The sequence below is a fragment of the Homo sapiens genome, chromosome 18, assembly GCF_000001405.40.
Source record: "Homo sapiens chromosome 18, GRCh38.p14 Primary Assembly".
NCBI classification, from domain to species: domain Eukaryota; kingdom Metazoa; phylum Chordata; class Mammalia; order Primates; family Hominidae; genus Homo; species Homo sapiens.
In genome coordinates, this window is record NC_000018.10 from 70,041,790 (window position 1) to 70,053,803 (window position 12,014).

Consider the following 12,014-nt stretch of genomic DNA (forward strand, 5'->3'; position numbering starts at 1 on the left):
ACTAAATTCTGAGACCTCAGCTGTCGTCTCCTACTTGGCTACATAACATTTGGCAGTTGGGTTTTCACCTCCAGGAAAGAGATCAGAAGACCATTCTCCAGGGAATCTGATAAGCCCCAGAAGACAAGCCTACAAAATAACCCCCATTGGTCCCCTTGGACAGCAATTGACAAGTTGCACTCATATGCTCAGGGATGTCAATCTGCTTTGAGTTTCCCAGTCTTAAATACAGCACATAATCAAGATTACCAGACACCAAGAAAAGCTGCCAAATAGAAAAGAGAGACTAAAATAAATAGAGGAAAAGACAGCAAAGAGAGATTACATAGCGAAAAAAAAAAACTTCACAGGAGTTCCAAATGTACAGAGCATACAAAGTACAGGGAATGTCTCTGAAGTAATTTAGAAAGCATGAGTTTATAGATGGAAAGAATCCCCAAGAGAGCCCAGTACAATGGCTAAAACAGATCCACACCTGGATGCTTCATCTAAACATTTTAGAATACGAGAAAAAATAAAGATTCTAAAAACTTCCAGGAAGAGAAAAACCAGGAATTCTAAGGGCTTTGGAATTTTCTTTTTTTTTTTTTTTTTTTTTTTTTTTGAGACGGAGTCTCGCTCTGTCGCCCAGGATAGAGTGCAGTGGCGTGATCTCTGCTCACTGCAAGCTCCCCGTCCCGGGTTCACACCATTCTCCTGCCTCAGCCTCCCGAGTAGCTGGGACTACAGGTGCCCGCCGCCATGTCTGGCTAATTTTTTTGTGTTTTTAGTAGAGATGGGGTTTCACTGTGTTAGCCAGGATGGTGTCGATCTCCTGACCTCGTGATCCGCCCGCCTCAGCCTCCCAACGTGCTGGGATTACAGGCATGAGCACCGCGCCCAGCCAAGGCTTCAGAATTCTCTATAGTAACATTTGGAATTAAAAAGAACAGACTATGGCTTCTAAATTCTGAAGTAAATGATTTCCAATCCAGAATTCTCACTAGCCTAACTATAAATTATATGTAAGGGCGATAAAAGACTTTCAGTCATTTAGATCTCAAAAGACCTCCTCAGTACCTTTTCTCTGAAAGCTAAGGGAGAAGAGACGCTACGCAAAAATGAAGAGCATTAACCAGGAGAGAAGGCCACAGGAGATGGGAGACAGCATGCAGGATGCAGGAGACTGCACATAGCACAGAGGTAAAGGAATTCCTGGAACCAGGTGAATGGATATCCCAGGATGACAGGAAACTGCACCTAGCACAGAGGTAAAGGAATTCCCAGAAACTGGTGAATGGATATCCCAGGATGAAAACAGGCACCAAGTAGGTTAGAAGGAATTGGGAAGAGATTTCTTCCAAAAGATGAAGCGATGAAGTTCTGACAATTCTGAACACACTGAGAGGATGTTTAATTCTGGCAAAGAGCATGGAGCTTGTAAGTGATAACAGGAAAGTCAGCACGTTTTAAAATAATACAATAATTACCTCTAAGGCAAACAAAAGCTGTGCAAGAAAAGAAAGTTAAACACTCTGCAACACGGTTCAACTGTGTATAACACTGTCATAAATTTAATACCATTCACGCTGCCTATTCTCTAATTGGCATTATGGTATATCAATATTAGGAGAATGAGAAGGGAACCCATTTTGGCAGGGTAGGTGGGTGAGGCATGAAAAAAAAGCTAAAGTCTCATTTTCCATAGTAGGAATTCAACAGATAATATTTAAAACTGAATAATCAAGACAAAAAAATATAAGCATGTTATTTAGAGACATGAAAGAGAAGCTATAAAAAGTAGCTAAATGAGGTATAAGTGGTCACCTCTGAGAATATGAGGAATGAAGGCAGAAATCTCCTACTTTTAGTAAAAACTTACAGATACAACTGTTTGGTTCTCTAAAATGTGTACATGGTAAAACTGAAATCAAAGCCCCAAACCAAAACCAAACAGACAAAAAGGAAACAAACAGAATTAATCTATGGTAAATTCATATACTTTCCAACATATACTGAAGGAAAGGCTGGAGTGAAGAACTGACTTTCTATCAGTTTCCATACAGTACTTACTGCAGACTGAAAAGCAGTCTGAGCATCACTGCAAAGAGCAAGTGGACACGACTGGAAGTGTGAGGAGCCTGGAGGCAGCAAGGCTGAGAATAAACTCAAGCAACAGATAACTAGCAAATACACAAAAAGAGAAAAAGAAATCAAGACGATATACAGAGCAAGACATAATGTCTTTTCATCAACCAAAATTCATTTAAATGTCATGCTCTTTCTAGATTAATCCCTTCTGTACATTTAAGTGATGTAGGGTATTCTAGGTCAAGACTTTCTTGCTTTCTTTCCAAAAGGTACTTAATGTAAAAAATAGGCTTTTTAATTACAGTGAACATTCATCAACACAATGGGATCTTAAATATATAAGCCTTCCTTTCAACAGATTTACCCTTGAATTTTACCATTCACTAAATGTGAGCACAAAATACATCTAAAATAAGGCACAAGAGTTCCTCATTTGCATTACTACTTTTAGATATCAGATCAAATATAAGGAGCAAAATTAATTCATTATCTCAACTGATTAATATATCAATTATAGACAAAATCTACTACATATAGAGAGATTTTTATTGATCTTGTTATCTATATGTATTTGCAAATAAAACATATTGAGCACAGTAGGCCCCTTTATCCTTGAGGGATCCATTCCAACACCCCCAGTGGATACCTAAAACCATGAATAGTACCCAACTCCATATATTCTAAGTTTTATTCCTATAAATATGTAACTACAATAAAGTTTAATTATAAATTAGGCAGGTAGGAGACTAACAATAATAATAACAGAATAGTATAATAAAAATTATGTGATTGTGGCCTCTCTGTCTCTCTCTCTAAAATATCTTACTACAATGCACTCATCCTTCTTCGTCTTGTGATTCATCAGTCTGATAACCAAGATTGCTATACTAAGTGATGAATGGGCACGTATCATATGCAGCATGGGTAAGCTAGACATAGCATGATTCACGTCCTGAGGGGAGACAGAGCATATTTCATCATACTACTCAGAATGGCATGCAATTTAAGACGTTAAGTATTGTGTATTTCTGGAATTTTCCATTTAATATTTCTGGACTACAGTCAACCATGAGTAACTGAAGCTATAAAAGGCAAAACTACAGATAAGAGGAGACTACTGTATCTTCATAAACTAGGGAAGGTAAAATCTCTGCTAAGTCAAATGTGTTCAGTATTTTATGGACAAAAGACAGCTGAATATTTCTTAGAAAATGCTCAAAGTCTGAAACCACCTCAAAATGGACTTAGAAAAAAACACTTACACATGACTTAAGATGTAAGTATGAATACTTTCAACATGTATCCCCTATGGGATACTGCTATAAAGCACCATTTAAAAGATAACTCTGACCAGACATTTAACTGAAGTTCCAATACAGTGATTTGTTAGGAGGATGGAGATTTTAGAGGCAGCTGAAACTTAGTAATAATGTAATAAAAGCCTATCATTTTGCACTTGAAGAACTGAATCCCAAGAAGTTAAGTGATTTGCCTAAGGTCCCATATCAAATGTTTTTTGAGTATGATTTTACAGAAAACTTAGACCTTTGAAAGACATCAATTTTAGAATATAATTTCTTCAGATAATTTAAAGACTGTAATTTACTTTGCTTCATACAGCACCTGGCCCAAACCACAGCCTCCATGGACATATAGTAAGCTACATTTATTACTTATCAAAACGTGTTGCTGTTGAATGTATTCTAATAATATTTTAATTCACATATCCTATTTCTATAAGGCAAAGAAAACAGTGTTTGTAATTTAATAGGCCCATTAACTGTCCCAACTTACATTAGGTACACATTTTGTCATGAGTGTGCCAGGAGTATACTTCCTCTCTTCACTTTCTTTGTCTTAAACTTGCCTGTGCCTTTCTAACAGATGTCATGTATCCAAATTCTACTGCTTACACGAACACAAAGAGTATGATTTATTAGGAAACATGGTTTAAATAATTGGTTAATGTATCCATACCCTCACAAAATACGTGATTTGTAATTTAGAGAAATAAAGAGGAAAATTAGCTAGTCATTAGGAAAATCATTGAGATATTCTGTGACTGTAGGCTATCTCATTTTCTTTGTCCAAAAAGGTAACAAAAAAATTATAAACAAAAGCTTTTATAATGAATAATATTACAAAGTATTAGGTAAAAATAAGGGCAAGGTAAATTTCACAAATTCCTCTAGCACAGATTTTTTTTTTCCTGCGTATACTATTATAAACTGATTCATTACCCTACATGGATCCATATGCATCATGAGTCTCATCAGAGACCCTTCAAACACAGCACCACAAACAACATTAAAGAGTTGGGAAATAAAATAGCCCTGGCTTTGCCTGGCTGGAAGTCTTTAAATTTCCCAGGTCCAGGAGGATTGGTTGCAGGACACCCACAGTCATCCATGCAGAGCCAGGCTCCCACACCTATTGCCATTTTGGCCTCAGCAGGGAGGGCAGGGCCCAGCACACTGCCCTCACTGCACTCAGTCCTCTGAGTGAAGTCACTGAAATTCTCTGACGAGCCAAGTGTGTCAGCAAGAGCAAAAGCCTTTCCCCAAGCAGTACCGTGCTCCAACCAAAGCCAAAGTTGGGAAATTTATAATTAAATTACATAGGGGTTGTGGTTGGGAGACTTTTGAAAAGGTTTGAATTTTCCTCCTTACAACATTCTTTAAAGTGCAAAACTGGAGACTCAGTTAATCATTGGGAAATAAAGTCTGTTGTTCTGATGGGGAATGAGAAAACTGGGACAACGTCCAGTTTTTGTTTTCAACTAAGAAAATTTGAGTGAACTGACAGTGAGGTAGTAGGTACAGGAAAGCTATGGCCTCCCAAGAATAAGAGGCTTTTAGAGAAATGCTTTGAGGAACGCTTCTCCCCTAGAGCTCTATCCAGGCTTCTGAAGGCGCTGCTGGAGATGGATGAGAAAATGGGGGATGCCTTAACAGGCTTCTTATCTATGCTGGAAAGGTAACCAGATTTTGTAGCACAAGGGAGACAAAGTCCCCTGAGGACCCTGTGACACTCTCCACAGGACAGCTCCTGGGTGAACCAGGAAGCATTTTCTTCTTACTGGCAATCCTTTCTGCATCTCAACATCATCAAGCCTTGTGCCCAAAATGCACAAGCAGTCATACCAGAAATATCTGCATGATCATGACTCTCACAGGCAAAGAAGTGGGTAAAAATCTCCAAATTCTAAGCAACAAAGGGACTATAACAAATCAGCACAGGAACAATCTTCTAAGCAACAAAGGAATTATAACAAACCAGCACACAGACAATCTTCTATCTTTGCCAAACGTGGCTGGCTGATTGGGAAGCTGAAGCAAATTCTTCAATCAACAATTCTACTACTTTTCTGCCTTTCAGTGAGAAGACAAAAATCATAAAACCACATGATTAAAAAGAATAATTCTAAATACTGAAAAATCTAAAAATATTCCTATTTGTAAAAAACAATGTACAACTTTAACTTAGTAAACACACAGTTTTTAAAAAATTACTCATCTACTTATAAAATAATACTTTAGTGATTTTAGAATGTTTTCTGATTAACAAAATTCTTGATTCACATTTTAGACTGTAAACATAATTTTATAAGATAAAACAGGCAACAGGGCTTGGAAAGGGGGCATTTTCTTCCAAATGTGCCAGACAAGTCCACTTACCTATACATGTAACCAACCCCAAAAATCTGTGGTCCATTTCTAGAAATCAAATGTCACTTAGAATATATTTTCAGAGACGTAGATATATCTTTAAAATTACAATAAATTTTGAACCATAACTGCATTTCTGAAATATATCCATTTTGGTCATGATATGAAACACTGTTTTGATCAACTGTTAGATTTAGATTAGTAATATTTCACTTCAAATCTTTACATCATATTCACTGAAGAAACTGGTCAACATAAGCGGGTGGGGCTAAGGAGGAGATAGTTAATTTAACTTTATAAACTTTTGTATCATTTAAACAGTCATAATAAGCATTACTATTTCTTAATTTAAATGACTGAGACAGTTTTTAACAAGACCATGACTGAAAGTCAATTTATTTAAACGCTAAATAAAGTTTTTGAAAAACCAAGAAATGACGTACCTGAAGGATTACATCACTAAGTTGTTCTAGAGATTTCTGATTTTCCTGAGAGTCATCAAGAAGTGAAGCCACTGTTGGACTACAGCATAAATGTGTTTTGCTCTTAGCCTGGAGATGCCCTTTTGCTTCTTCGGTCAAGAGAACAGAAAGGAATTGCAAGCTGGCAGTATACAGGGCAGGACACGTGGCAGACAAGCCTGCACATGTGCAGAACATATCTAAAGGAATAATTTCAGATGTGAATGTTTGAAAATTTCTTCAAAATTCAACAAAAAGGAAATCAAGTTGATTTTAAAGTAACTATACTCTGGATCATCTAGATTACCAACTTGTGTGATTGTGTTGCAACTGTTAAAGGAGCTGGTGCCAACCAGAACTTAAAAGCAAGACTTAGTATGCAGTGTTGGCACAATGTACAAACAAATATTTCATAGCAGTTCAGACAGCACATGAGTGGTCATGAACTGATTCACAAACTTAATACAGAGTGGAAAGAACAGACCAAACTGAAAGGAATTTACACTGAAACAGTCATTATTAATTTCCTGTTGTGAGAACTGATTTTGTTTAATCAAAATTACATGTGTTGTTTTACATTTTATAAACTTGAAAAATTGGATTTATAATTTTGTTTGATTTTATATTTTAGATTTATGCTTGTGTGATAATTATAACCATAAAAATTTTTACTTAGATTTTGGCTTGTACAAATTAAAGTTACATAAGAAAAATAAAGTAGTCAGCAGTAGGGTTTCATGAGAATTATGTTCATTTAAATGATGTCCAAATATTAGTCAAGTTCGAGAAAAGACTCTTATAGATAACACAAGTTACGGAGTGACCACGACATGTTTTAAATGTATATGGGCATATGAGATGGCAATTGATTTAAAAAAATAAAAATAAACAAAAATAAAACCATGGCAAAAAAAATGATAATTGTTATTAATGTTTTCATTAACATTACTATTATGAAAACCATTTATGCAGTAAGTTACTTTTGATTAGTACTATTATTACATAAAACTGTACACATATTTTGAAGGAAGGTTTTGAATTTAATATGTATTTATTTTATCACTAAAGAAATAGTGTTAGATAAATAAGTTTAAGTCAGAGGTCAGCAAACTTTTTCTGTAAAGGTCCAAGTAGTAAGTATTTTATACTCTGCAGGTAACTGGCTTTTTCACAACTATTCACCTCAACTTTTGTAGCATGAAAGCAGCCATATGCAATATGTAAGTGAGTGTGGCTATGTTCCAATAAAACTTTATTTACCAAAACAAGCTGCAGGCCAGATTTATCTAATGTGGGTAGCATCATGCTTTCTATTGATATTATTGGTGATTCAGGTGATAAACTAATTTTCCCCCAATAAATACAAGAAGAAAATCCCAATGTCTTAATCAGTCAATCTCTTTCAATTATTATATTTTAAACAAAATAATGATATCCTACGTGGACACTGTACTCCATGGTAGACTCAGAACTCCTACATCCAGAAAATTAACAATTCTGTTCCTTGTTAAACATGCATTTGCCATAATTCTTACTATCGCTTTGGTTAAAAATTGTATCATGCATTTAAGTTTACTGAATGATCAAATGATAAAATAAATGTTAAAAAAAATCGGTCAGTTGAATTAGCAGGTACTTTGGAAGCTTAAAATAACTCAATTTTGAGTACATTTAAGTAGGTTGTTTAAAAAGGTTACATAAATGTCAGTTATGAATATTTATGTTAAAAAACAGCTTTTTTCTATGCTAAAATTTAGGAGGCTTCATGAAAAATTAAAGATTAGTTATTTTAAAATAATCATGTTTATTTTAGTGGGCAACTATCATGAAAAACATAAAAATAATTATACTATACTCTTGGCATTTCTGTACTATAAGAAAATTCTGATGTGATGAGAAAGTTATTTGTATCCTAACTTTCCATGTTATCATGTATACCAGATTTTATATATGAAGATGTATCCACATACAATGTACATATGTCAGAAAGGATACTGGTTTCTATACCAACACAGTAAAATTTATCTCATTGTTTTATAATCATATCATATGTACCTTTATAAAACCACAGGCTTACAACTGACAAATGGGATCTAAACTAAAGAGCGTCTGCATAGCAAAACAAACTATCATCAGAGTGAACAGGCAACCTACACAATGGGAGAAAATTTTTGTAATCTATCCATCTGACAAAGGTCTAACATCCAGAATCTACAAGGAACTTAAACAAATTTACAAGAAAAAAACAAACAACCGCATCAAAAAGTGGGCGAAGGATACGAACAGACACTTCTCAAAAGATGACATTTATGCGGCCGACAAACATGAAAAAAAACCCATCATCACTGGTCATTAGAGAAATGCAAATCAAAACCACAATGAGATACCATCTCAGGCCAGTTAGAATGGTGATTATTCAAAAGTCAGGAAACAACAGATGCTGGCGAGGATGTGGAGAAAATGGGAACACTTTTACACTGCTGGTGGGAGTATAAGTTAGTTTAACCATTGTGGAAGACAGTGTGGCAATTCCTCAAGCATCTAGAACCAGAAATACCATTTGACCCAACAATCCCATTACTGGGTATATACCTAAAGTTTTATAAATCATCCTACTGTAAAGACAAATGCACACATATGTTTACTGTGGCACTGTTCACAATAGCAAAGACTTGGAACCAACCCAATGCCCATCAATGACACAGTGGATAAAGAAAATGCAGCACATATACACCATGGAACATTATGCAGCCATAAAAAAAGAATGAGTTCATGTCCTTTCAGGTACACGGATGAAGCTGGAAGCCATCATTCTCAGCAAACTAACACAGGAACAGAAAACCAAACACTGTGTGTTCTCATTCACAAGTGAGAGATGAACAATGAGAACACATGGACACAGGGTAGGGAACATCACACACCGTGTCGGGGGATGAGAAGCAAGGGGAGGGAGAGCATTAGGACAAATACCTAATGCATGTGGGGCTTAAAACCTAGATGATCGGTTGATAGGTGCAGCAAACCACCATGGCACATGTATTCCTATGTAAAAAACCTGCACGTTCTGCACATGTATCCCAGAACTTAAAGTAAAATTTAAAAAAACCAACAGTGGCCAATATAATGTTCTCAATAAAACAGAGCTTCAGGGATGACATCTTTAAAAAGCTTAAAAAATAATAAAACCACAGGCTTTCCTAACTCGCTTTTATGTTATCTCAAAATGTGTTTCAATTTTTCAAAAATGCATTTTTGGGGGGCTCAAGAACACTGCAAATTTTTCAAAGCAAGCACCCTGATACCTCTTTTATATGCCATGCTATAATTACTTAACTTTAGTGAATTTACATACCTAAACAGGCAGAATCATTATCTCGTTTTATTAGCAGAAAGCCCCCAAGATTATGCAAGTATCTTCTTACCAATCGCCGCTGTCCAGTGCTTGGCCAGGGCCACGGTAACAAACGGGAGTGTGATGGCACCAGCTTTCCTCAGGAGCATGGCCAGAAGATTAAATAAATGTGTCCATGTGTGATAAAAAGCTGATATTAACTCTTTATCTATAAAATTAATCAAAACACTTCAAGTTATTAACACAAAGAAGGAAAAGAACCTTTCAAGATATAAAACTTACCACAGACGCTTCATTACACTTAAAATGAGGGGTGTGCACTTATCAAATGAAGACAAATCTAATTCAGCATTATCCAAAATTTATTTCAATTAACTTCTTTTCCATTGCTTCTTAAGATATCTCCCCTCCACCCTCCTGCATATAAAGCCACACTCACAAACTCTCCTCTTATTAAAGCATACTCAAGAACAATCAGAAGGTGTGACAAACTAAATATTAAGCCATGACTGCAGAACTACATATTGGCACATTATAAAAATATGTCATTGTTTGTGCTACTTTTGTCAGAGTAAGTTTTCCCCTATTTCCTTTATCCCCTCCAGCAGCTTTGGGCAGGGGTGAAAGGAAAGCACAGTGTGCCAAGGTCAAGGTAGAAAAGAAAGAATTTCTTTGAAGAACCAAGAAAAGTATCATCCCACAAAGAAAAGTATGACGCAAAAGAAGATTCTGCAGCTTTTCCTATGGCTAAGGATGTAGCAATTCTAGGATGAGGACCCATTTTCCCTTCTCTCCACTCAGGTAAATGGAAGCTGGAGAGCAGTCGCTGAGGACTCTCTCTGACCATGCCTTCAGGGGGATCTGTCATCTTTTATCTAATTCCACTATAATGTAAACTTTATAGGACGTTAACCCCGAGGAGATCCATCTAGGTGTACTTCAGCACCTATGAGATACTTGAAAACTGCACCTTCCCCAGGGCAATCCTTGGTGTTTCTCAACCCTTTTGTCATTAGTGGCTCTCTAAAGAGTTTATTTCAGAAAATGTTTCCTCATTGCCATCCCCACAAGATTTTAATTCCACACATATACTGTATATCTCTTTATGTACTATATGTATATCTGTACTTTGTACATAAAAAGGCTAAGTATAGAGCTTACTGTTTTTATTCAATACAGGCTTAAGAAGAGCCGAATAAAACATTTAAGCTGAAAATTAAATTAAAAATTAAAGACCTATTAATACCAAATTTAGCTTTGCACCTATACTTGCTGAATAACTTTTCATGTAATTTATTTACTTATATATATATATCATCACAATGTGTCAATTTACATACATAAATTAGCAATTCATATAAAAACAACAGCAATATAATAAATTCTTATAAAATCATTTAAAACTTATTTTTTTCAGAAAAAAATTTTAAAAACTTCTTTAAAAATATTCTTAGTGAACTTTTAAAACTTTTTGCTAGATATGAGAAAACAATTTTTAATTTAACCAGCTAATAGATATACATTCAGATATTGACATTTTTTCCTTTCAGCGCTTGATATAATTAATGATGGGTTAAACAACTTTTATGTAATTAAATATATACTACTTTCAATTAATTTTCAAAGCTCAAATCATACAGAAAAGCAAGAGGATCAATAAAAAGCATTCACAAGGCAGCCAATAGCAGCCAAGATACACAGACCACCTTTTGCTATATGACCTTGGGATCAAACAATCAACCAAAGGTCCTCCAGCTGCTGTCATCTATTCACCACAGTTTTGTGGCACTAGTCTTGCATACATCTTGTGTATCTTCCATGAACTCAACGTCAATGCTTCTCAAGGAATTCTCAAGAAAAACCAGGAAGAGAAATAGTAATAAGATTGTCTCAGGTAGAGTTGAGCTTTGGAAGCCTACAAACTATTTTAATTTCTAAGATGTTTTTGCCTCACCCTCTTCTCCCCAGAATCAATGTTCACTCCTTAGAGACTGGGGGTGATATCACCTTGTTGAGCTTGTCCAGTCTAACCTAATAAGCTTAGTTAGGGTATCACTGCCACTTGTTGAATTTCTAAGGAATTACTATTCCTTTAACATCGAGATCATTTTAACACTGATGAGATGCTGAGAACTGGCTTTGCTGGGTATCATAACACACTTCATTTTCCAGACCTAAAACCAAGTAAATCCATAGTTCAAATAAAACTGAAAGGCAAAGAGAATTACCAAATGGTCAATTACTTCATTATAAATGATTGTTTTCATTTTCAAAACAATTATATTAGATTTTGACAAAGATCCTACTTTGCTTTAATTTTCTCCACTAAGCATTACATTCAACTTTTCATCATAGAATATTTTCCCCTGGAGATAACATTAGATCACAAAATATATATACATTTCAATAATTTAGGACCTTAGGAAATTTGTGATATATTCTAGATTGGCTTATACTTGTTAT

At 35.4% G+C, this 12,014-nt stretch overlaps 1 protein-coding gene across 15 annotated transcripts in view, besides 1 other annotated feature; it reads right to left on the bottom strand.

Annotated features, from left to right (window-relative positions):
* RTTN (rotatin) overlaps nucleotides 1-12,014 on the bottom strand; it is a 202,657-nt gene that overhangs the window by 38,759 nt on the left and 151,884 nt on the right. For 14 of the 15 annotated variants that reach the window (XR_430072.4, NM_001318520.2, XM_047437468.1 and 11 more), the window contains 2 exons: nucleotides 9,622-9,759; nucleotides 6,182-6,399 (listed from right to left, as the gene is read on the bottom strand). Coding sequence is in view for 14 of the 15 variants with exons in the window: in NM_001318520.2 (NP_001305449.1) it covers nucleotides 6,182-6,399; nucleotides 9,622-9,759 (356 nt within the window). In the remaining variant the exon portion in view is untranslated. The remainder of the gene's footprint in view (nucleotides 1-6,181; nucleotides 6,400-9,621; nucleotides 9,760-12,014) is intronic. The other variant, XM_011525905.3, reaches the window with a different exon arrangement.
* Nucleotides 5,765-6,964: an enhancer, noted in NCBI's record as "MED14-independent group 3 enhancer chr18:67714790-67715989 (GRCh37/hg19 assembly coordinates)". NCBI's record gives its function as "activates an origin of replication core promoter dependent on BRD2, BRD4, P300/CBP and CDK7 cofactors, and independent of MED14, by STARR-seq in HCT116 cells {active_cell/tissue: HCT116}" and the evidence as "EXISTENCE:reporter gene assay evidence [ECO:0000049][PMID:35650434]".